General features: G+C 59.3%; 1 protein-coding gene across 5 annotated transcripts in view, besides 20 other annotated features; it reads left to right on the top strand.

The window, feature by feature from the left end:
• Positions 1 to 20,822, top strand: part of SH3GL1 (SH3 domain containing GRB2 like 1, endophilin A2) — a 40,178-nt gene that overhangs the window by 16,564 nt on the left and 2,792 nt on the right. For 2 of the 5 annotated variants that reach the window (NM_003025.4, XM_047439222.1), the window contains 6 exons: positions 16,990 to 17,058; positions 17,411 to 17,483; positions 18,359 to 18,502; positions 19,763 to 19,896; positions 20,106 to 20,264; positions 20,511 to 20,614. In NM_003025.4, the coding sequence (NP_003016.1) occupies positions 16,990 to 17,058; positions 17,411 to 17,483; positions 18,359 to 18,502; positions 19,763 to 19,896; positions 20,106 to 20,264; positions 20,511 to 20,614 (683 nt within the window). Of the gene's footprint in view, positions 1 to 4,188; positions 5,060 to 16,989; positions 17,059 to 17,410; positions 17,484 to 18,358; positions 18,503 to 19,762; positions 19,897 to 20,105; positions 20,265 to 20,510; positions 20,615 to 20,822 lie in introns of those variants that run through there. The other 3 variants (XM_017027146.2, NM_001199944.2, NM_001199943.2) reach the window with 3 other exon arrangements.
• Positions 3,957 to 4,056: an enhancer, noted in NCBI's record as "active region_13773". NCBI's record gives its function as "activates an Ori minimal core promoter by ATAC-STARR-seq in GM12878 lymphoblastoid cells {active_cell/tissue: GM12878}" and the evidence as "EXISTENCE:reporter gene assay evidence [ECO:0000049][PMID:35858748]".
• Positions 4,107 to 4,156: an enhancer, noted in NCBI's record as "active region_13772". NCBI's record gives its function as "activates an Ori minimal core promoter by ATAC-STARR-seq in GM12878 lymphoblastoid cells {active_cell/tissue: GM12878}" and the evidence as "EXISTENCE:reporter gene assay evidence [ECO:0000049][PMID:35858748]".
• Positions 4,617 to 4,696: an enhancer, noted in NCBI's record as "active region_13771". NCBI's record gives its function as "activates an Ori minimal core promoter by ATAC-STARR-seq in GM12878 lymphoblastoid cells {active_cell/tissue: GM12878}" and the evidence as "EXISTENCE:reporter gene assay evidence [ECO:0000049][PMID:35858748]".
• Positions 5,682 to 6,414: an enhancer, noted in NCBI's record as "H3K27ac-H3K4me1 hESC enhancer chr19:4377567-4378299 (GRCh37/hg19 assembly coordinates)". NCBI's record gives its function as "activates a minimal SCP1, AML or CMV promoter by ChIP-STARR-seq in naive H9 embryonic stem cells {active_cell/tissue: H9 hESC(naive)}" and the evidence as "EXISTENCE:reporter gene assay evidence [ECO:0000049][PMID:30033119]".
• Positions 7,882 to 8,615: an enhancer, noted in NCBI's record as "NANOG-H3K27ac-H3K4me1 hESC enhancer chr19:4375366-4376099 (GRCh37/hg19 assembly coordinates)". NCBI's record gives its function as "activates a minimal SCP1, AML or CMV promoter by ChIP-STARR-seq in naive H9 embryonic stem cells {active_cell/tissue: H9 hESC(naive)}" and the evidence as "EXISTENCE:reporter gene assay evidence [ECO:0000049][PMID:30033119]".
• Positions 7,882 to 9,392: a biological region, named in NCBI's record as "NANOG-H3K27ac-H3K4me1 hESC enhancers GRCh37_chr19:4374633-4375365 and GRCh37_chr19:4375366-4376099".
• Positions 7,918 to 8,212: an enhancer, noted in NCBI's record as "tiled region #465; K562 Activating DNase unmatched - State 1:Tss". NCBI's record gives its function as "activates a minimal TATA promoter and a strong SV40 promoter by Sharpr-MPRA in K562 cells {active_cell/tissue: K562}" and the evidence as "EXISTENCE:reporter gene assay evidence [ECO:0000049][PMID:27701403]".
• Positions 7,927 to 8,116: an enhancer, noted in NCBI's record as "active region_13770". NCBI's record gives its function as "activates an Ori minimal core promoter by ATAC-STARR-seq in GM12878 lymphoblastoid cells {active_cell/tissue: GM12878}" and the evidence as "EXISTENCE:reporter gene assay evidence [ECO:0000049][PMID:35858748]".
• Positions 7,938 to 8,232: an enhancer, noted in NCBI's record as "tiled region #6457; K562 Activating DNase unmatched - State 1:Tss, and HepG2 Activating non-DNase unmatched - State 5:Enh". NCBI's record gives its function as "activates a minimal TATA promoter and a strong SV40 promoter by Sharpr-MPRA in K562 cells, with weaker activation in HepG2 cells {active_cell/tissue: HepG2 | K562}" and the evidence as "EXISTENCE:reporter gene assay evidence [ECO:0000049][PMID:27701403]".
• Positions 8,197 to 8,306: an enhancer, noted in NCBI's record as "active region_13769". NCBI's record gives its function as "activates an Ori minimal core promoter by ATAC-STARR-seq in GM12878 lymphoblastoid cells {active_cell/tissue: GM12878}" and the evidence as "EXISTENCE:reporter gene assay evidence [ECO:0000049][PMID:35858748]".
• Positions 8,418 to 8,712: a silencer, noted in NCBI's record as "tiled region #8255; HepG2 Repressive non-DNase unmatched - State 1:Tss, and K562 Repressive non-DNase unmatched - State 1:Tss". NCBI's record gives its function as "represses a minimal TATA promoter and a strong SV40 promoter by Sharpr-MPRA in HepG2 and K562 cells {active_cell/tissue: HepG2 | K562}" and the evidence as "EXISTENCE:reporter gene assay evidence [ECO:0000049][PMID:27701403]".
• Positions 8,616 to 9,348: an enhancer, noted in NCBI's record as "NANOG-H3K27ac-H3K4me1 hESC enhancer chr19:4374633-4375365 (GRCh37/hg19 assembly coordinates)". NCBI's record gives its function as "activates a minimal SCP1, AML or CMV promoter by ChIP-STARR-seq in naive H9 embryonic stem cells {active_cell/tissue: H9 hESC(naive)}" and the evidence as "EXISTENCE:reporter gene assay evidence [ECO:0000049][PMID:30033119]".
• Positions 9,038 to 9,332: an enhancer, noted in NCBI's record as "tiled region #262; HepG2 Activating DNase unmatched - State 5:Enh, and K562 Activating DNase unmatched - State 1:Tss". NCBI's record gives its function as "activates a minimal TATA promoter and a strong SV40 promoter by Sharpr-MPRA in HepG2 and K562 cells {active_cell/tissue: HepG2 | K562}" and the evidence as "EXISTENCE:reporter gene assay evidence [ECO:0000049][PMID:27701403]".
• Positions 9,098 to 9,392: an enhancer, noted in NCBI's record as "tiled region #14493; K562 Activating DNase unmatched - State 1:Tss". NCBI's record gives its function as "weakly activates a minimal TATA promoter and a strong SV40 promoter by Sharpr-MPRA in K562 cells {active_cell/tissue: K562}" and the evidence as "EXISTENCE:reporter gene assay evidence [ECO:0000049][PMID:27701403]".
• Positions 10,083 to 10,816: an enhancer, noted in NCBI's record as "H3K4me1 hESC enhancer chr19:4373165-4373898 (GRCh37/hg19 assembly coordinates)". NCBI's record gives its function as "activates a minimal SCP1, AML or CMV promoter by ChIP-STARR-seq in naive H9 embryonic stem cells {active_cell/tissue: H9 hESC(naive)}" and the evidence as "EXISTENCE:reporter gene assay evidence [ECO:0000049][PMID:30033119]".
• Positions 10,817 to 11,550: an enhancer, noted in NCBI's record as "H3K4me1 hESC enhancer chr19:4372431-4373164 (GRCh37/hg19 assembly coordinates)". NCBI's record gives its function as "activates a minimal SCP1, AML or CMV promoter by ChIP-STARR-seq in naive H9 embryonic stem cells {active_cell/tissue: H9 hESC(naive)}" and the evidence as "EXISTENCE:reporter gene assay evidence [ECO:0000049][PMID:30033119]".
• Positions 13,095 to 14,042: an enhancer, noted in NCBI's record as "H3K27ac-H3K4me1 hESC enhancer chr19:4369939-4370886 (GRCh37/hg19 assembly coordinates)". NCBI's record gives its function as "activates a minimal SCP1, AML or CMV promoter by ChIP-STARR-seq in primed H9 embryonic stem cells {active_cell/tissue: H9 hESC(primed)}" and the evidence as "EXISTENCE:reporter gene assay evidence [ECO:0000049][PMID:30033119]".
• Positions 14,043 to 14,992: an enhancer, noted in NCBI's record as "H3K27ac-H3K4me1 hESC enhancer chr19:4368989-4369938 (GRCh37/hg19 assembly coordinates)". NCBI's record gives its function as "activates a minimal SCP1, AML or CMV promoter by ChIP-STARR-seq in naive H9 embryonic stem cells {active_cell/tissue: H9 hESC(naive)}" and the evidence as "EXISTENCE:reporter gene assay evidence [ECO:0000049][PMID:30033119]".
• Positions 14,495 to 14,684: an enhancer, noted in NCBI's record as "active region_13768". NCBI's record gives its function as "activates an Ori minimal core promoter by ATAC-STARR-seq in GM12878 lymphoblastoid cells {active_cell/tissue: GM12878}" and the evidence as "EXISTENCE:reporter gene assay evidence [ECO:0000049][PMID:35858748]".
• Positions 17,141 to 18,062: an enhancer, noted in NCBI's record as "H3K27ac-H3K4me1 hESC enhancer chr19:4365919-4366840 (GRCh37/hg19 assembly coordinates)". NCBI's record gives its function as "activates a minimal SCP1, AML or CMV promoter by ChIP-STARR-seq in primed H9 embryonic stem cells {active_cell/tissue: H9 hESC(primed)}" and the evidence as "EXISTENCE:reporter gene assay evidence [ECO:0000049][PMID:30033119]".

Genomic DNA, 20,822 nt, shown 5'->3' with positions numbered 1-20,822 from the left:
TTTTGCAGACAAGTGCAGAGCAGCAAAAAATCTGTCACCCATCGCATATGTTCCTAGCCGAGGTCAAACAAAGCCACACTGCCTTCTCCTAGCTCTCAACGCTGTGTTCTGGCGTGGATCACTCTGCCTTCTCCCGGCTCTCGCATTGTGTTCCGGCGTGGATCACGCTGCCTTTTCCCGGCTCTCACGCTGTGTTCCGGCATGGATTTGCAGGCTTTTAGCGCCATGTTTCTCACATTTTTGGGATTTTGTTGGTGATTTCGCTGTTGAGAATGGTCCCAGCATCATGCAGCAGTGCCGTCTCGTGTTCCTCAGTGCCAGGAGGCTGGGATGAGCCTCACAGAGAAACCATGTGTGAGAGCAGTTCTCTCAGGCAGGAGTGATAGCTCCGTGTCCATGAGTTCAGTGTGGGTGAATCACAGTAAATATGAACTAAGGAAATACGCATAAAGGACAGGTGCAGCGGCTCATGCCTGTCACCCAGCACTTTGGAAGGCTGAGGCAGGAGGATGGCTTGAGCCTGGGAGTTTGAGACCAGCATGGGCAACAAAGTGAAACCCCGTCTCTACAAAAATACCAAAAAATAAAAAATAAAAAAAAAAATAACTCTGTGTGGTGATGCACGCCTGTAGTCCCAGCTACTCGGGAGACTGAGGCCAGAGGATTGATTGAGCTTGGGAAGTCAAGGCTGCAGTGAGCCATGATCACGCCACTGCACTCTAGCCTGGGTGACAGAGCAAGACCTGGTCTCAAAAAAAAAAAAAATGTCCAGGCGTGGTGGCTCATGCCTGTAATCCCAGCATTTTGGGAGGCTGAGGCAGGTGGATCACTTGAGGTCAGGAGTTCGAGACCAGCCTGGCCAACATGGTGAAACCCTGCCTCTATTAAAAATACAAAATTAGCCAGGCGTGGTGGTGTGTACTTGTAATCACAATTACTCAGAAGCCTGAGGCTGGAGACTCACTTGAACCCGGGAGGCAGAGGTTGCAGTGAGCCAAGATTGTGCCACTGTACTCCAGCCTGGGCGACAGAGTGAGACTCTGTCTCAAAAAGAAAAAATGAAATACACAAAACTGGGTTACATAGTGACCATTTGATGAACATGTTGTGAGCAGAGGCTCACAGAAACCTAGCTGTGTGTTTCCCCTCTGAACAGTGGCTCAGTACTGGCCAACTCTGTGCTTGAGGTAGCTTTCTAGAACAGAGCTGCCACGAATAACGAGAAGTGATGAGCTCCTGTGGCAAGCAGGACAGCACCCGCCACGGCTGCCCCTCACCTCCACCCCTGGAACTGTGACTGTTCCCTTACATGGAAAATGGGACTTTGCAGATGGGACAAAGGGTACGGACCTGGGGGTGGGAGATTATCCTGGCTTATCCACAAGGGCCCAGTCCCATCAGAAGGCCCTCAGAAAGCGGAGCACCTGGGCCGGGCGCGGTGGCTCACGCCTGTAATCCCAGCACTTTGGGAGGCCGAGGCAGGCGGATCACGAGGTCAGGAGATCGAGACCATCCTGGCTAACACGGTGAAACCCCGTCTCTACTAAAAATACAAAAAATTAGCCGGGCGTGGTAGTGGGCGCCTGTAGTCCCAGCTACTCGGGAGGCTGAGGCAGGAGAATGGCGTGAACCCGGGAGGCGGAGCTTGCAGTGAGCCGAGATCGCGCCACTGCACTCCAGCCTGGGTGACAGAGCGAGACTCCGTCTCAAAAAAAAAAAAAAAAAAAAAAGAAAGCGGAGCACCTTCCCCTGCTGTGGTCACAGGGAGCTGAGACAACGGAAGAGAGAACAAGAGATAGCTGTTGAGGGGCCAGCGCCTGCTAGCTCTGACAATGGAGGGAGGAGGGGGCCGTGAGCCAATGGATGTGGGTGGCCTCTGGATTCTGGAAAAGGCAGGAAAGCCCCAGAACCCCCAGAATAGAGTGCAGCTCATAGTATCTCAATCTTAGCCCGGGGTGATCCCTGTCAGGGTCTGACCTAGTGAAGACTTTGTGTTGCTTTAATATGTCGTTGAAGACGTCGTGTGTGGCTGTAAGTCACTAGGTTTGTGGCGATTTGTTGTGGTCATCGAGACCATCCTGGCTAACATGGTGAAACCCCGTCTCTACTAAAAAATACAAAAAATTAGCGGGGCGTGGCGGCGGGTGCCTGTAGTCCCAGCTACTCGGGAGGCTGAGGCAGGAGAATGTTGTGAACCCGGGAGGTGGAGCTTGCAGTGAGCCAAGATCGCGCCACTGCACTCCAGCTAGGCAACAGAGCGAGACTCTGTCTCAAAAAAAAAAAAAAAAAAAAAAGGCGTGTGGGGGGTGACAGAGAGGCGGGGGAAATGAAGAGAGGCAGAGGGGGTGGAGAGGGACAGGGGAGACAGAGGCAGGGGAGACGGAGGCAGGGTAGACAGAGAGAGGCAGGGGGAACAGAGAGAGGCAGGGGGACAGAGACGGGAGACAGAGAAGCAGGGGGACAGAGAGGCGGGGGAGACAGAGGCAGGAGAACGGAGAGAGGCAGAGGGGACAGAGAGATGGGAGACAGAGGTAGGGGGACAGAGAGGCAGAGGGGACAGAGAGAGGGGAGACAGAGGTAGGGGGACAGAGAGAGGCAGAGGGGACAGATGGGAGACAGGCAGAGGGGACAGAGAGAGGCAGAGGGGACAGAGAGACGGGAGACATAGGGGGACAGAGAGAGGCAGAGGGGACAGAGGGAGACGGGAGACAGAGGTAGGGGGACAGAGAGAGGCAGAGGGGACAGAGAGAGATGGGAGACAGAGGCAGAGGGGACAGAGAGAGATGGGAGAGAGAGGCAGGGGGACAGAGAGAGTCAGGGGAGACAGAGGCAGGGGAACAGAGAGGCAGGGGGATAGAGAGAGGCAGGGGGACAGAGGCAAAGGGGACAGAGAGAGGGGACAGAGAGAGGCAGGGGGACAGAGAGGCTGGGGGAACAGAGAGAGGGAGAGGAGGCCGGTGGGGAAACAGAGTTGTTTTTTCCTCTGTTAGCTCTCATCCCTGAAATCAACAAGGAAATAGGACCGGTTCACTTTGCCATGTTGGCTTGAGGTGCCCTGCTAAGAGCTGGGGTTCCATCCAGCCTTCCTTGGCTGTGACACTCTGTGGAACTAATCTTCAACTTCGCAGAAGTTGTTCCCTGGCCTCTGGAATCCCACCTTGGTGACTTAAAAGCTAGTGGACTGATAGAAAATTCAGTCCCCGTTACTTAACTTGGATTTTGAAAACCGTCCCCTCATTCAGGTTTACACAGAACATGCTATTGCCCGTCTAAGCCTGAGGGGACCACACACCCCAGAAACACCAGAGCAGATCATGTTCAAAACCGCCGACTGTCCTGAAGACAGTTGACAATTCATGAGTTTGACGCACGTTTTTTCCAGTCCAAGAGCTGGAGCCAGATACCCACCCGTGACGCCCTCCCACATCTTCCAAACGGGCACTTCCAAACCTTGTCCTGGGCATGTTTCCAAGCCAGCCTCACTGCTGCAGGCTCATGTCATGCCCTCTCTCCTGCGTGCTCCCAGATCCCACCCATCCTTAAAAGCCCACGGCCACGGCCACCTCCTTCCTGCCTCACCCTGGCTCCCTCCCCGCAAGGAGGAAGCGGCCCCTCCCCGCTGGCGTCCTGTCTGTCATAGGGCCTTAGGTTCTTGTGTGTGTGCGAGCCTGGGTTACGTGTCTTTCCTTTTCCACTGTACCTGGCACAGGTAAATACTCATTCAGCCTGACTTGGACCTCAGTGATGGCTCCAGACCGTGGCTTTGAAGAATGGGCAGAATTTGGATGTAGGAAGAAGCAAGGAAAGGAGGGAGAGTTTCCGGTGCAGGGAGAGAGCCCTGCCCTGGGCATCCCTTAGGCAGGTGTTGGAGGGAGGCCCCCAGCACTGGGGCCCCAGCAGCATGGGTCTGCCCTGCCGTGTCCTTCCCCTCCAACCTGAGCCCATGCAGCATCCGTGGGGCCAGTCCTTCCAGGGAAGTGGAAGCCACCCTGGGAGGAGCCTGGCTACCAGACCATGATGGCAGGGTGGGAGAGATTTGAATATTCTTACTGCTCGTAGCTCAGGAAGTGGCAGCACCAGTCCCTTGTCCTTTGGGGCGATGACAACAGAGAAGCAAGCCTTGGGGGGCAGGGCTGCTTTCCCCCCAAAATACAAGTAAGCACAAGGCAGAGCGGCGTGCTTTGTGTTGACGTCGCAGCAGCAGCCATCCTGGCAGTGAGGGGTCACAGTCACGGCCACAGGCTCGCCCATGCACAGAGGCACGTTCTCGAAGGCAGGAAGAGCGTGGGTGTGCAGAGGTGCAGGGAGGGCGGGACATCCCCAGGGAAGGAGTTGCGTTCAGGATGGGCAGCTGTGCCAAGTTCCCAGCTGGTAGGAAGACAGGAATGCAGGTTGATTGGGAAACAGGAGAGAGGGCGCAGCGGCTGTGGCAGCTGCCTGGGGTGTGAGACAGCAGCAGGTGTGTGTCAGGGATGTGGGGAATTTTCTACCAACCTTCTTTTTAAGTTGAGTCATTTTCTCTCTTGGTCCTTTGCTGCTTTATTTTTTTTTTTTTTTTGAGACAGCATCTTGCGCTGTCACCCAGGCAGGAGTGCAGTGGTGTGATCTTGGCTCACAGCAACCCCCACCTGCTGGGTTCAAGAAATTCTCCTGCCTCAGCCTCCCAAGTAGCTGGGATTACAGGCATGAGCCACCATGCCTGGGGTTTCACCATGTTGGCCAGGCTGGTCTTGAACTCCCAATCTCAGGTGATCTGCTTCCTTGACCTCCTAAAGTGCTGGGATTACAGGCATGAGCCACCAAGCCTGGCAGTCCTTTGCTTCTTTCCTCCCGCCCTCGTCCGCCAGTAGAACCTCAGAATTTGTGTCACGGCCATTGACAAATATGTCCCGTGCTGTGAGCATTTTGGAACCGGGACTTGACTCTGTGGCTGATCTGGAGGCGCTCTGGGCGCAACATGAGATTTCGTGCACGATCAGCCAGCTGTAGCCAGTTTTTCCTGGTGTGCGTGGTCCTGTGAGTGCCTCACCAGGGTCCCTTGGAGATGGGTGTGACTCAGGTAAGGTGTGTTCCTTTTCTTCTTCTTCTTAAGGGCCTGCATGAAGCCTCTTGCTCCAGAAAAACTGGGCTCAGAGGCAGTGTCGTGGGGCGGAGGTGAAACCCCTGGCCGGCCCCACACCCATCATTCCTCGGGACTCAGTTGCTCAGTGCACAGTAGCCTAGGATCGTAGGGTGGTGTATGGTTTCTGTTTTTTTTATTTTTATTTTTTGAGAGAGTTTTACTCTTGTTGCCCAGGCTGGAGTACAATGGCGCGATCTCAGCTCACCACAACCTCCGCCTCCCGGGTTCAAGCGATTCTGCTGCCTCAGCCTCCCAAGTAGCTGGGATTACAGGCATGCACCACCATGCCCAGCTAATTTTTGTATTTTTAGTAGAGATGGGGTTTCTCCCTGTTGGTCAGGCTGGTCTCAAACTCCTGACCTCAGGTGATCTGCCCGTCTCGGTTTCCCAAAGTGCTGGGATTACAGGTGTGAGCCACCGCACCTGGCCTGGTGGTGTGTAGTTTCTAAAGCACATCCACGCCTGAGATGGTTGAGAAAACCGAGGCTCAGAGGGGTTTGTGTTCCTGCTCAGAGTCACAGCCCCGAACGGCAGAGCTGGAACCACATCCAGTCCCGGTGTCGCCCATCCAGGCACCCTAATCCCACGTCAGCCTGCTTGCCTCGTGGCGTTACGGCACACCTTTGCTCTGATGTGTTACTGGCACACCTGAGCTCCCGAGGGCAGGGCTGCTTCTTATTTATTTGTTATCTCAACAACTAGTATTTATTATCTCACCATATACTCAGTGACTGACGCCACCTGGGTGCCAGGCCCTGTGCTGCCTCTGCCACCCCTGTCCCTGTGCCTGGCCCTGCTGGCAGGAAGCTTGTGTTTGAGGACAGAGAACTTGGGGTGGGTTGGCGACGAGAGCCTGTCCCGAGTGGTGTCCCTCCAAGGACGATGAGCCACAGCGGGGCAGAAGGGGCCCTGGGAAGCAGGCTGCACCCGCCAGAATCTCCCAGGCCCGGGACCCAAACGCGAGTCTTCAGACAGGAGAGGCTGCAGTCTTCTCGCTGCAGGGGAGATGGTGGGGGGACTCGGGCCATTTGCCTGCTTCCTCTGTGCTGAGGCCGTGGTCAGCAATTCTGAGATTCCCAGCCCGGGTTTCCACCACCGACATCACTGTGTAAGGAGCAGGCAGTGCCTCTGAGCGGCCAGGGGCACCCATGCGCCAGAGCCAGTGCACGTGACCTGGCGAGGGGGCAGGAGTGGCCACTGCAAGGTGACAGCTGCTGGCACCTAATGCTCGCAGAGGGCCCCAGTGCACAGGCGCGGCTGGCTGTGCAGAGCTGCTGACCGCCTCTCACCACCCCCTGCCCTGCCCCGTGCCACCCGGGATGACTTCTGGCCTGGGTGCTTTTGGTAGCCACACCTCAGAAAACCTGTCTTCGTGACTGTGGGCCACCATGGGCATGAGTCACCTGTCACCAGAGCCTGGTGTCCCTGTGTAAGTGTGCCAGATAGGCAGAGGAGACAGGTGAAGGCACATTCCTCAGTGCCCGCTCACAGCTCTGCCCACCACGCATTCTGTAGAGAACCTCAGTGCCCTCCTCCCTGCTGGCAGCCAGGCAGGGATTTAGGCGGTTTCTGTTTGGCCTCCAGTGCTTGCCTCTCCCGTGTCCTATCCGCCCAGACCTCAGACCTGTCACTGTTCCCGGGCATCCTCCTGGATAAGAAACTGCCCAAATGTGGTAGCTGGGTCCCCAGGATGTGAGTCAGGCTAGGCCTGCCTAGCTCACGTTTTGTTCTTTGCAAATTTTCCCAACCTTGCAGCTCTCTGGGGAGGGAGCCAGCTCCAGGCTGGGAATGGGCCTGGCGGCCTCCATCAGTGTCAGCCCAGGTGAACCGTCCACGAGCCACAAAAGGGAAGGTGATGGGAGGAGTATCATCTGGCTGCCTTCCGGGTCACTGCGGGGAGTTGCTGCCCCCGGAGCTTAGCTGCTGTCAAGGGGTGGGATGTGGCGAGGACCCCCAAGAGGTTGCCCGGGGTCCTTTATTCTAGGGCGCTAAGCATTGGAGAGTGCTTCCTGTGTCTGAGACGGGACAGCAGGGGACCCGAAAACAAGCAAGCAAGAGGAATGCGAGGCCCCGTGAGGATAGCAGGAGGGTGGGGCAGCCTTGCAGCCATGGGGACATTTGGATGGACAGAGCCCTGGTGGCTAAGACCCAGCATGGGAAGATCCAGGGAGGCTCAGTGAGGGAGAAGGAACAGCGAGAGCAAAAGCTCTGAGGGGAGATGGGGGGGCCGCCCAGGCAGATGGGGGTGTAAGATGAAGTGTGAAGGGGCAGGCGCACGAGAGAGGAGGCATCAGTGGTGTGTTGGGAGAAGGTGAGGAGACCAGTGATGGGGATCAATCAGGAGAGCTTCCTGTGGGAGGAGGCTTCTCTGAGGTCTGAGGTCTGGGCGGATAGGACACGGGAGAGGCAAGCACTGGAGGCCAAACAGAAACCACCTAAATCCCTGCCTGGCTGCCGGCAGGGAGGAGGGCGCTGAGGTTCTCTACAGAATGCACGGTGGGCAGAGCTGTGAGCGGGCGCTGAGGAATGTGCCTTCACCTGTCTCCTCTGCCCACCTGGCACAGCTGCACAGGGACACCAGGCTCTGGTGACAGGTGACTCATGCCCATGGTGGCCCACAGTCACAAAGAAATGGAAGTCCTTCAGAAATGGAAGGGATCTTAGAGATGGTGAAGATGGTTTCTGTGTCTCAGGAAGGGCTCTGGGCTTTCGGGCAAGTCTCCTCAGCTCTCAGGGAGTGAGGGAACTCACGGCCCCTCGTTGAGATCTGTGCACCTGCAGCCTCTCACCGCTGTCACCATGCCCCGCAGTTCTCTCTCCAAGACCATTTCCAGTCTCTTCCTGCAGGGCTATGCATTGCCTCAGCTCCTTTTGAGGAGCTGTTGAGAAAAGATCGTTTTTTAAGAAAGCCTTATCGTTCCTGTGCATGTGGGTGATGTCATCACACTCTGCCCCCTGGACGCAGATCCTCCATGCTGCCCCCAGTGGGAACACCAGCCTGTGCTCAGTGCTGCAGAGCTGGTGTTTCCCTGCCAGGCGGAGCCTCAGGGGATTTATCGCCTCATTTGTTTGTGGGTTGGCTTTTTCCTTTTATAAGTTTTCATCGGAAACTGATTTTACCAGTTGTATGTCACACAGCCCTCCTGCCTGGTCCCCAAGATGAGAAATTACAATGCATGATGCATGAGGCTGATTTTCATGTAGATGTGTTCGCTCGGGCTGGAGCTCTGGGTGTGGTTTGTTCCTGGGAGAGGAGCCCCAGGCACTCACTGGCATCTCCATGTTTGGATGAAACCCTGTGCAAGGGCAAGGGTGGGAGCGTGTGTCCCACATAGCTGAGCCCCCTGGTTGGCAGGCCTGTCCTCCCGTCTCCTGGGAAGGTAGCATGAGCTTCCCACCTGCTCCCAGATTCCTCGCCCAGCCCTGGGGCGTTGCCCCTCCCCTTCCACCTGCCCTGACTGCATTCCAGGCAGAGCCAGGGTTGGTGGGGCCTGCAGTGGGGATCCCTTGACCTTCCTAGCCACTCCTGCTGTCTGGCCTTGGGCCAGGCATGTCTCTCCTAGGCCCTTAGCTGTCCTGTTTATCAAGTGGAGACATCTGCCCAGAGGCGGCAGCTGGGCCAGGTGGGGGCTGGAGGGCCCGGCTGGCTCTGTCCACTCCTCTCGGGGTTGTCCTGGAGCTCTGTGGGGTCAGCCTCGCACCACAGACAGTAGGTCCCAGCTTTCCACAGCAGAGGGCACCCCTTCTCCCCCACGCATGGAGGGGCAGGTGGGTCTCGTAGGTGCCCGAGGGGAGCAGGTCGGGCTCAGTGCTCTGCTGCCTCCTGGGCAGACTGGTAGTGGTGATGGGAGCCCCAGGGCTGCCGGTCATTAGAGCCGAGCCCAGGTCACCGCCCTGCCACCATGTGCTGGGACAGCGTGTGGCCCATGGCTTCTGCCAGACGGGCGGTGAGGGAGCCCCCACCATTGGGCAGCACTGGCCAGCCTAGGCCCCATACGGCCACCAGGCGCAGCCCGCAGCCTCCCCCACACCCATGTGGAGCTGGGCCAGGCAGGGTGCGTCCTCGGCATGCGTTTCCAAGGACTGCTGAGTCACCTCAGGGGTGACTCAGGGGCCCAGGGGCCAGGCCAGAGCCAAGGGGGACAGCAGGGGAGAGGCCGGGCTGCAAGGCCACAGCACGGGAAGGGCAGCATGCGGACCAGAGGCCAAGCCTCTCAATGCAGACGAGGGCCAGGAGGCCAGGGAGGAGGCTGTCCCGGGAGAAACGCCGATTGCCCCATCTAGGGCGGACGGGCCAGGTTCGGGCTGGTGGAGGCCTTCCGGGATGCAGGCCCTGCACAGGGTTCCTTAGGGTTTAAAGTCAGCAGCCAGAGCTGGAGGCCTCATCAGAAAGGCAGTGTGGGCTGGACTCCCGCTGGTGACTTTGCTGTCAGCACAGGAGAGGTCCTTCTGGCCCTGGGGCTGCCCTCACGGAGCCTCCGGCCACCAGACCATCATAGACCAGGCCTGAATGTCCCCTTTCTCTCTCGGGGATGGTCACAGAGCTGGCCCCTGGCCCCTGGCTGCCACTCTGTTGTGGCCACCGCTGAGCAATTTCCTGTCGTGGCTGTCACCACTTCGTCTGCGTGACTTCTTTCCAGTGGCTGATTCCCTCTCTGCTTCCAGTTCCCCTGATGTGTTGGCCTCAGACTCTTGGATGGGGCCTCCAGGGCCCATCTGGAGGATTTCTCTTGCCTAAGTTTTTTTCTCCCCCTCATTTTCATGTGCTGTGACTTCAAATGACATCGGCTCGCTGCCGCGCACACAACAAAGCATTTATCGCTCTCTGCCAATCTGAGAGTCCTTTCTCCAGCTCCAAGAGCCAGGAGTCAGGCAGGGCAGGGCCCGACAGCCTGAGAGACGGCATGAATGGCCAGCACCACAGTTGGCAGAAACGCACCCCCAAGGCGATTTAGACTGCGGTGGCCGGGCCGCACCATGGCCCCCAATGTCTGGCTGTCTTTCCCTACCATGGCACCCAGCCACACCTCTGGCCAGGAAGTCTGTGGCAGGCCTGTCCCCACAGCCTGGGGGCCGTGGGGAAGCCGGGCTCTCAGGGGGCCCTCTGTGGCCTGGTCTGAGGCAGAGCCCATTCTGGTTCCAGTCCAGAGCCGGTATCTCGGTTGCCAGCCCAGGCCCAAGGGACTGCCCCTTTGGCTGAGAGGACGCCTGGGGCTTCCAGAGCCACTGTCCTTTTGCTGCCAGAGCTTGGTTCCCAGAGGAGCGCCTGACCCGCCACAGAGGTGGGTCTGTGGCTGTCCCCGGGTGCCCAATCTGGCCATGGTGGCAGCGTCTGGTTTGGGGTTTCCGTGAGAAAATAATTTCAGAAACTTTGTCTTGATTCATTGTTTTCAGTGCCTCCGTTCCCAAAGGCTGCTTTTTAAAAACCATTCAGCCTTGATGGACAGGAGGGGAGATCTCTACTGAGAGGCTGGAGGCTCGAAGGACAGTGGCAAATCCAGGGCTCTCAGAACTCCCAGATGCTGAGGGGAGCCCCGGCTGTCGGGACCCTTCCCTCCGTGCATCACACACAGTGGGTGATGACCCAGTCAGCCCCAAGGCAGAGGCTCCCTCCATCTTCCCTTGGGCTGGGGAGTGGGTTTCTGCCGTCTGATTCCTCGCCGCCGGGCCATGAGGATCACCTGGCACCTGTGAGGGTCACTTGGCACCTGTGGTGCTCCTGTGGCCCCCCCTCCCACTGCTCCTCTCCCTCCCCCTCCTGGCCTCATCCCTGAGCATGTGCAGGAATGACTACTCCTGCTTTTCACCTGCGGATGCCCTGCAGGCTCCCAGACCAGGAGCCCAGGGGCCACAACCCCACCCATGCCAGGCACTTACTGTCACAGGAAAGCTCAGAGCTGCCTGCAGCCAGCGCCGCCCCTGTAGATAGGCGAGCTTTCATAGTCAGCACGCAAGGGCCTCAGGTCTGGAGAGTCCCCATGCCACTGGGGCCACTGAAGGTTTCCAGGAAGGACAGACAGACACATCAGCAAGCCAGGAGCCTGGGAGCCCACATGGAAAAGGGGACACGAAGGCCAGTGGCTTCCTGTGTCGCTGGGCAGCAGGCCGCCTCCAGGCTGTGCGCGTCTTCGACTTTTTGACTCATGGGAAAGAAGCTGTGATGGACTCGAGGTGGCCATGTGTGTTGGGCAGTGGCTCCCAGGTGTTGGGCCAGCAGGGAAGGGCGTTGCAGATGGAAAGGGGTTCAGAGACACACGGATATGATACATCCCTACATCCTTTGCCCCTGCCCTCTTCCCACGTCAGGGCTTTTTCTACACCACAGGGATCCTTACGTCCCTCCCTGGGGCCTCCACCCCGACCCTGTATTCCAGCTGTTTTGCACAGAGGTCTGATAAGGACTCTGCTGCTTCTGCAGGCCTTACCCTGGCTTTGCCCCTTTCCATGGCTGACCAGGCCTTGAACACAGCTGCAGTGTTAGAACTGCGCCCACTGTGAGGAGGGGCTGAGCACTCGCCTCCTCCACGTCCCCTTCAGCTTCCTCCTCTGTGACGTTGGGGGCCGGGCACAGAGTGCCTAGCATGGGGGCTGGCACATGGGACTGTGAATAGTGGCCCTTGTTCCGTGTGTCCTGCCTGCCCTGTCCCTGGTCCTGCAGGTGGCTGGGCCTGGACCCCCTCCTATGGTCCCCAGCTCCCCAACCCATGCTTTGTCCTGGGGCTGTTGTCCCCTAGTCCTGTAAATGTATGGCCTTGGCCAGGCACACTGTGTCATGCCTGTAGTTTTGGCACTTGGAAGGCTGAGGTAGGATTGCTTGAGGCCGAGTTTGAGACCAGCCTGGGCAACATAGTGAGACCCCTGCCTCTTTAAAAAGAAAAAAAAAGATGAGGCCTTGTCACAGGTATTCGCTGCGGTTGACCAGCCGTGCCCACCTGCCATTTCTCCGCTCTGTGCCTGGCACTGGGCGAGGCCCCTGTGGTCTGTGCGCTCACAGATTCCGCTGAGGAGGACTGCAGGGAGGGACGCGGAGATGGCTCTGTAGCACAGCGTGCAGCACCACAGCACCACCGATGCCGACGGGCAGGCAGACACCAGCCAGAGACCCGCTCCCCAGCCGAGGGAGGACCCGTGAACTCTGCTGTGAACCTGGAAATTACCAAGCACCACAGCATGACTGCCAGTGAGACCTGAGGACCCTGGGGCCGACCCCTCTGCGGGCAAATGTGGCGCATCCCTGCAGGCTGGGCCACAGCAGCCCTCCCTTGCCCTCCCCCACGCTGGCTTTCTTCTTTAAAAGAGAAAAAAAAACAAAACCCTGTGAATTCATCAGAGCAGATAGTCTGCTGGGGCACCAAGCCCGAGACGGGCATTTGTGTTCCGTGCTGTGTGGATCAGGTTTCCCCGCTGAGATGTTTAAATCCCAAGGCCGCCCATCGGCAGCAGCCAGCTCCACTCGGCAGGATTCGGAATTTTCCTCCTGCTCCTGCCAAGTGGCCACCACAGCTGTGCCTGCCGGGCACAGGGCAGCTGCCCACACCCCTCTGGGTAAAACCTGGGATTCTCCTGCCTACGGTAGCCCTGTCCTGACTCTCAGTCCACAGTGTCTTCACAGTTCATTTCTGTATTTTTCCACCTTGTATTCTCTGTTCTGTGTGTCACATCCCTTGCTCCCCTCCAAAGAGAGCCAAAGGTCTAAACTCTAATGAATGCCAGGCTTCAAAGGAATAGCCCCCTTCTCCCAGGGGGACAAGAGTCCCATGCTCTGGGGCAAAACCCCATCTTCGTGTCCAGCTTGCTCGTTTCCCAGGTGCCTGGCTCACAGGTGACAGAGTACAGGGTCAGGCAGAAAATCCATGCGGCATGCAGGTGGCGGGTGCAGGTGGGATGCGTGAGCATAGAGTGGGCAGGTCTCCGCTGGGCATCTCTGGGCAAAGATCTGAAAGACCACAAGCCAGTCTTGCCAAACCCTGGGGAAGTGTCCGGCAGGCAACAGTGGGATCCTTCCCAGAGGCCACTGCCAGGCCTGACTGAGCCGGGGCCTCTCCCATAGTGACTTCTCAGCCCTGGTCCTCGCCTGGCAGGGTTGGCCAAACCTCACTTCTCCCTGCTCCAGGCGGGGACATGTCACAGCCTCTGTGGGAGGCCAGCCGGCATCTGAAGCAGGGGCAGAGTCTTGGAGACTGTTCCCTCTTGGGCTCGGCCTGTTTGTTCCAGGCATGGGGAGAGAAGGCGCTGGTGTTGCTCTCAGGATGGCAGCCCTTGTGGGGCCTGCGGTTGGTCACTCGGGGTTTGCAGCTGGTACTCTGACCCCGTCCAGGTGGGGCCCTGTGGGAGAGTGGGGAGGGGGCCCCCACCCACCCTGCCACCCTGATGCAGGTTCAGTCAGCGGAGGGTGGTCTCACCCCTGAGCCCTGTTGGGTCCCTGGCTACTGAGTGGCCCCATTATTTTCCTCCGTTTCCTGCCATGCGGGGTGGGAACAGGAGGCGAGCCTTGTGGGTATGGGATGGACTCGAGTGCGGAGCTGTCATTGCCACTGCTGAGTCCGCTGCACTAGTCAGGGCTACAGCCAGCCTGCAGAGTCTCCCTCGGCAGGAATGGACTGCTGGGACCATGGCCTCAGTCCTCCCTCCCCACCGGTAGGGTCTCTGATGCGGGGGCATTGGGGCTGGCTGCCCCACAACAGGCAGCTCTTGCCTGGCAGATGGCACCAGGGTTAGGAACACTCGCTCCTGACAGCGAGCCCAGAGGCGCCCTCTGGTGAGCCTCCCCGTGGCGCCCAGCTCTGCCGCAGACTCTCGGTCCCCTCCGTGCTCAGCAGTGTGCTGGTGTGGAGACCGCAGTGAGTAGGGCCCCAGCGGGCAGGAGCCCACGCTTGGTTTCCGCGCTTGCGGCCGGCGCTGCACGTGGCCCGGCTGCCTTGCTTTTCCCGTGTTTCCCTTGTGGCTGCTCATCCCTGTGTCCATCTGTGCTGGTTTCTAGCCCATAAGCCTTGGAGAGAAGGGGCCTTACAGGGTTGTGTCCCCTGCCCAGTGCCTGGCCCGTGGGGGACCATCAGTCACCACAAGGGACTTGGCTGGAGCTGAGCAGAGGGACCCGGGTAGTTAGGGCACAGCCTCCCGGGTGTCAGGGGTGCGAGGAGTCAGGCGGTTGTGGGGGTTCAGGAAGTCGTCCTGGGGCTCAGGAAGGCAGGGTCCTGGATTCCCAGGTGAGATGGGCAGGTGGGGCCAGGGCCAGAGCCAGAGGCCACCAGGTGGGTCTTTGGTACCGTGGCGGGTCCCCAGCCCCTCCCCTCAGAGGCAGGATGTGGTCCTCGCCGGTAGGGCCTCTCCTCCTGCCCTGTGAGAGGCAGGGGGCTGGGGAAGGGCCCTGACGGAGCCACTCCTGCCAGCCTGCACACTGGGTCCTGCCTGGGCAGGTCGTGGGGCCGGGGTGGCCTCCGCCCAGAAGGTGTGGTTTCGCAGCCCGCTGGCTTCAGTTCTCCTCCCGGCTTCCCAGAAGAGTCCAGTCTCACATCAGCCACTCATTTCCCTCTCCGGCAGCCGCTGGCTCTGAGCACGCCCTCTCTCGCCACAATCAAAAGAAGTGAAACTGTCCCAGGAAATAGAGTGGAACGCCCCAAAAACACCTAGGGAGGGGGGGCTCCTTCCTCCTAATGCCTTCAGCAGAAATGGAGGGCAGCCCCACTCTCCTGCCCCGCAAGGGACAGTTCCTGCTTCTCACCTGTGCCAGAGTCAGCCCTCCCGCGGTGGGTGTGACGAGGTGATTTTTTTTTTCTTTCTTCTTTCTTTTGAGATGGAGTCTTGCTCTGTCGCCTAGGCTGGAGTGCAGTGGCTGGATCTCTGCTGACTGCAAGCTCCACCTCCCGGGTTCACACCATTCTCCTACCTCAGCCTCCCGAGTAGCTGGGACTACAGGCACCCGCCATCAGGCCCGGCTAATTTTTTTGTATTTTTAGTAGAGACGGGGTTTCACTGTGTTAGCCAGGATGGTCTCGATCTCCTGACCTCATGATCCGCCTGCCTCAGCCTCCCAAAGTGCTGGGATTACAGGCATGAGTCACCGCGCCCGGCCAACGAGGGGATTTTTAAGAAGCTTCCAAGGTGCTGTGTGGCTGAGTTGAGAGCCACCAACCCACAGGCAGGAAAGGGACAGGGGTCAGAGGCATGGGGCCTGTGCTCACTGAATGCCCGGCACACCCCGCACATGAAGGCAGGTGGACAGAAAGGGTCCCGATGCGTGGGTGAGGACAGTCCCGTGGTGTGGGGGCTTCCAGAGCCAAGCCTTGGAGGAGGGCCAGGAATTCCTTGGCAAAGGGGCTGGTGTCTTTTTGGGCAGGTTGCCAGGACACAAGACCAGCCGTGTACTCCGGGCAGGCTACCTTTTGCAGAACTTGGGGTTGGGGGCATTTGCACTCATGGTGCCTTGGGCTGTGACCTCCAGGCATGGGCTAGAGGGTACACCAGGTGCCTGGCGTGGGCAGAGCCCCAGGCTCAAGCTTCTCCTGCCCCCGCACTTCCTGCTCTTGGGTCACTTCCTCCCAGGCTGGGTCCTAAACTCCTGACTGCCCTGCTGGACACCCCCCAGCCCCACACAGCCAACGCAGTGTGGCACCACACGGACCCTCATGGCATCCCTTGGCCACGTCTTGTGACAGCTCGGGGCAGGCAAGCACCAATCAGACCTGGGGAGCACCAGGGGCACAGGCCATGGCCCACGGCACGCAACACCTCACTCTCCTGCCCAGGCCGTGTGTGCACGTCTTCACACAAGTGATCAGACCCGGGATGTTAAATTTGCCGATGACTTCAGAGATGGCACACCCTGTGACACTTGGCCCCCAGAGGGCAGGGCCAAGCTTGTGACCTCAGGCGGCCTCCCTCTGGGAGCCTCCATTTGTGGCAGGGCCTGGCAGCCACTCGGCTCTTCATGAAGCGCTGTGTGCTGGGAAGGGCCTCACACTGTCCATCCTCACTCTGTGCGGCATCCCTTGGCGCCAGGCACACATGGGATACGTGGGGTGAAGAAAGCAACGCCTGTGCTCAGACAGCGGTGCTGGGGTTCAGTGGTTCCCGCCATGTTCCATGGGACATTTCAGGGCTGTTTTTCGCATCCCAGGCGCTGTCAGAGGGAGTGGTTTGGGAATTCAGTGCTTGCTTCTGCCTTCCCACCACACGAGGAAAGACGCTGTAAGTGCCTGTCATTGTCATCGCTTTCACCGTAGCTGAGAGCCGTGAGGACCAAGGTGTGCCAGGCCTGTGTTGACTGCCTTGTGAAACTCAGTGTCCACATGGGGCAAGGGCTGGGCTGTCCCATCCTGCAGACACGGGCACCAGAGCACAGGAGAATGGCGGCCTCCCTGCCCGGCTGCCTGCACCTCTTCTCGTAACTGTCAGCTCCTGCTGCCTCTCCCAGCCAAGCTGGCAGGATTTTTTTTTTTAAGTAGACCCCACATACTCAAGGATGGGGGCAGATCCCCACATTGCTATCTGTGGGGATGTTTGTGTAGGCGCTTCTGGAAGCAGTGTCTTCTGAGCCATGTGTTCTCAGGCTGAGGCTCTGGACTCCACCGTGGCCCAGATGGGGCCTACTGTGGCAGGGTCCCCAGTGGGTATGTGAGTGGCAGTCGGGACACACACAGGTGGGCAGGCCACCCCCACCCTCCCCCTCCCCCTGCAGGCCCACCCTGCTCTGCAGGCAGCGTGTGGCCCTGGGGTGCCCACGGCAGTGCCTGAGGTGTGTGTCCTGATCACTTGGCCTCCTGCCTCCAGCTGTGGATGCGATGTGGCTGGAAGGCGGCTCAGGGCCTCCTGTCCTCTTCTTCCTCCTACCCCTGGGCTCACAGCGTTTCCCCTCTTCTGTCCTCTAGCTGGTCAGTGAGAAGGTCGGAGGGGCCGAGGGGACCAAGCTGGATGATGACTTCAAAGAGATGGAGAAGGTGAGGAAGAAACTGCGTGCTCTGTGTGGTGGTGGCACTGCTGGGGCCTGACCTCTGCCGGGCATAGTGGAGGCGGCCAACCTTGATGGGCCTGGGTCTGGAGTGATGGGGCCCGGCAGGTGTGGAGAGATGGGGTGGTGTGGGGGCCTCGTCAGCTGGACTTGACGGGCACCAGCTCTCTCCCCTGCCGTGGGCAGGCAGCTGTGGGGACATGGCTGAGCTGAAGACATGGAGAGGGGGTTGGGGGGTCCTGGTATGGGCTCTTAGGGCAGGAGGCGGTGCAGCAGCGGGGGTCTTGTGTGCCTTGGGCCCCCACTGGCTGTGGAGTCTTATATGCTGCTTCTCTTCACAGAAGGTGGATGTCACCAGCAAGGCGGTGACAGAAGTGCTGGCCAGGACCATCGAGTACCTGCAGCCCAACCCAGGTGGGTGCTCCAGCCACTGCCAGGGCCTGCCCCAGGCCCTCTGGCCTCTGTGTCAGAGGGAAGGCAGGGGATGACAGAACCGCCAGGCTCATGGGTTGTGGGCTTCAGGCACAGCTGGATCCCGGAGTGCAGAGGCCATCCTTGGTGCTGCATGCTGCCTTTCCACCTCAACCAGCAGCTCAGCCCCTCTGTTGGCTTCACTCTCATGCCGACTGGTTCCTCAGGGCCGTCCCAGCCTTCAACCCCTCTTCCAGCCAGCAGTCCTGGCAGGGAGCCTCTCCCCCAGCTTACTTGTGGGATCCATTTGTATTGGCCGCCCCTCCCCAGTGCCCCTGGCCTGGACTTCACCTCTTGGGCTTGGGACTGGGTCTCCCTGGCTGAGAGACGGGCTTTTCCCCAAGGAAAACCCAAATGCTGGCTCCATAGGAGGCCACGGACAGGGGGCAGACGCACACCCAGCAGTGTCCACTCAGGCCCTGCCAGGAGCAGACCCAAGCGGGCAGCGGAAGGGACACAGCTCATCACCCACCCCGGGAGCCTTGGCCTCAACCACCCCCCGCTGCACATCACTGCTGCGCCTCCTCCCTGGCACCCCCCAGATGAGGGGTCATAGCCACGTTCCAAGAGGAGCAGCCCTTGGAAGGAGGAGGTTTTGCCCCCTGAGGAGCTTGGTCACCTCTCCACCCGCTGCCAGCTCCTTTGAGGCTAGCAGGAGCAGGGAAGGGACCCTCTGGGGATTCCACTGTGCTTTGTGTGGCCTAGGCTGTCCACAGGCACAGGAAGCAAGGGTGGGGAGGAGATGTGGGGGCTGCAGTCTGCCAGGGCAGAGGAGTGCAGGCCTCACAGCCCACACCCACCTGGCCATCCTATCCCAGCCTCGCGGGCTAAGCTGACCATGCTCAACACGGTGTCCAAGATCCGGGGCCAGGTGAAGAACCCCGGCTACCCGCAGTCGGAGGGGCTTCTGGGCGAGTGCATGATCCGCCACGGGAAGGAGCTGGGCGGCGAGTCCAACTTTGGTGAGTGGTGCTCTCTGGAAGCCACGCCCACCGTCCCTGGAGGCCACACCTCAACACAGGCAGGGCAGGTCCAGGCCCTGCATGTGCTGAGTGCCGGGGACGTACAGTGGCCCCCACAGCTTTCCAGCTGCAGAGGTGCAGGAGACTGCACAGACCAACCCATCCAGCACTGGCCAGCAGCTGATAGGGCCCCTTCCTGTAGCTCCAGACCTTCCCCAACTCAAGCCAGCTGCTTCCCCAGGGCCTGGACCCCCCAGCATCTGTCCTTCCACCTGTTAAGGGCAAACCTAGGCCCTTTTAGGAGCATTGGAGGGTCTGGTTTAACGTCCAGCATCGATTCGGATTTTAGGATCCTTTGTTTTGCCCTGAGTTCCAATTTCCGGGCCCTGGGCTTAGAGTGTTGGGGGGCTGTTAGAAGTTGGGATGGGGCCAAGTGTGGTGGCTCATGCCTGTAATCCCAACACTTTGGGAGGCCAAGGCAGGTGGATCACCTGAGATCGGGAATTCGAGACCAGCAAGACCAATATGGAGAAACCCCACCCCGCTTCTACTAAAAAAAAAAAAATATATATATATATATATACACACACACACACACACACACACACACACACAATTAGCCGGGTGTGGTAGTGCATGCCTGTAACCCCAGCTACTCGGGAGGCTGAGGCAGGAGAATCACTTGAACCCAGGAGGTGGAGGTTGCAGTGAGCCGAGACTATGAAAAAACAAAACAAAACAAAACAAAACAAAAACCGGGTGCGGTGGCTCACGCCTGTAATCCCAACACTTTGGGAGGCCGAGGCGGGCGGATCACAAGGTCAGGAGTTCGAGACCGGTGTGGTCTATATGGTGAAACCCCGTCTCTATTAAAAATACAAAAATTAGCTGGATGTGGTGGCAGGCCCCTGTAATCCCCCTTACTCAGGAGGCTGAGACAGGAGAATTGCTTGAACCTGGGAGGCAGAGGTTGCAGTGAGCTGAGATCATGCCACTGCACTGCAGCCTGGGCAACAGCGAGACTTCATCTCAAAGAAGTTGGAAAGGATCCAGGTGTGGGGGTGAACGCCTGTGGTCCCGGCTACTTGGGAGGCTGAGGTGCCAGCATGGCTTGAGCCCAGTTTGAGGCCTGCAGTGAGCTGGTACAGCGCCACTGCGTTCCAGCCTGTGAAACGCTATTTCAAAAACAAAGGCTGAGGAGTGTCTCAGTCTAGTGGTCCCAGGCCCGGTATGATGGCTTCCCCCACCACTTCTCCACAGGTGACGCATTGCTGGATGCCGGCGAGTCCATGAAGCGCCTGGCAGAGGTGAAGGACTCCCTGGACATCGAGGTCAAGCAGAACTTCATTGACCCCCTCCAGAACCTGTGCGAGAAAGACCTGAAGGAGATCCAGGTGCTGCTCCTGCGCCAGCCTGGGGCCTGTCCCTTCCCCCTGCCGGATGGGGCAGCCCCATTCCTGCCACCCTCACCTCCAGCCTCGGCACTGCCCTCTGGGTCTCAGGCAGGCAGGATCCCCAGTGGTGCAGGGACAGTGGGTCAAAGCCATGCGTGGGGCGGCCCTCTGGCCGCTACTGGTGTGACCCATGTCCCCCACGTCTCCAGCACCACCTGAAGAAACTGGAGGGCCGCCGCCTGGACTTTGACTACAAGAAGAAGCGGCAGGGCAAGATCCCCGATGAGGAGCTACGCCAGGCGCTGGAGAAGTTCGAGGAGTCCAAGGAGGTGGCAGAAACCAGCATGCACAACCTCCTGGAGACTGACGTGAGTAGCTCGGGGTGTCACATCCTGAGAAGACCTATGCCCTTGGGAGGCCGGGGTGGTGCCTCAAGGGAGCTGGAGGACAGATCGGCACCTACCTGGCCGCTGCAGCAGGGGAGGTGGAGGGTATGGGCCCCAGTCCCCTGTCCCCTCTCAGCCCCCTTGCCTCCTGTGGCTTCACCTCGGGAGTCAGGGAAGGCACAGGACAGTGGCACTGGCAGGAGCCCCTGAGCCCTACTGTCCCCACAGATCGAGCAGGTGAGTCAGCTCTCGGCCCTGGTGGATGCACAGCTGGACTACCACCGGCAGGCCGTGCAGATCCTGGACGAGCTGGCGGAGAAGCTCAAGCGCAGGTGAGCCCAGGGCCTTGGTCTCTCCAGAGTCTGGGCTGCCATGCGCCCTCTGCCAGCGCAAGTGGGCAGCACACCTCGCTGTGGGGTGAGCACATGGCAGAGCAGCATCCTGGATTCTTCCTGGGGACTGAGTGGAAAGGCCTGGGGGGCCGCGAGGTCAGAGGAGCTGGGGCTCTGAGAACTCTGAGTCAACACCCAGCCCTGCCCC

Source organism: Homo sapiens, chromosome 19 (genome assembly GCF_000001405.40).
Source record: "Homo sapiens chromosome 19, GRCh38.p14 Primary Assembly".
NCBI lineage: Eukaryota > Metazoa > Chordata > Mammalia > Primates > Hominidae > Homo > Homo sapiens.
The sequence above is the reverse complement of the archived record's forward strand: the minus strand, read 5'-3'. Positions and strand labels throughout refer to the sequence as shown.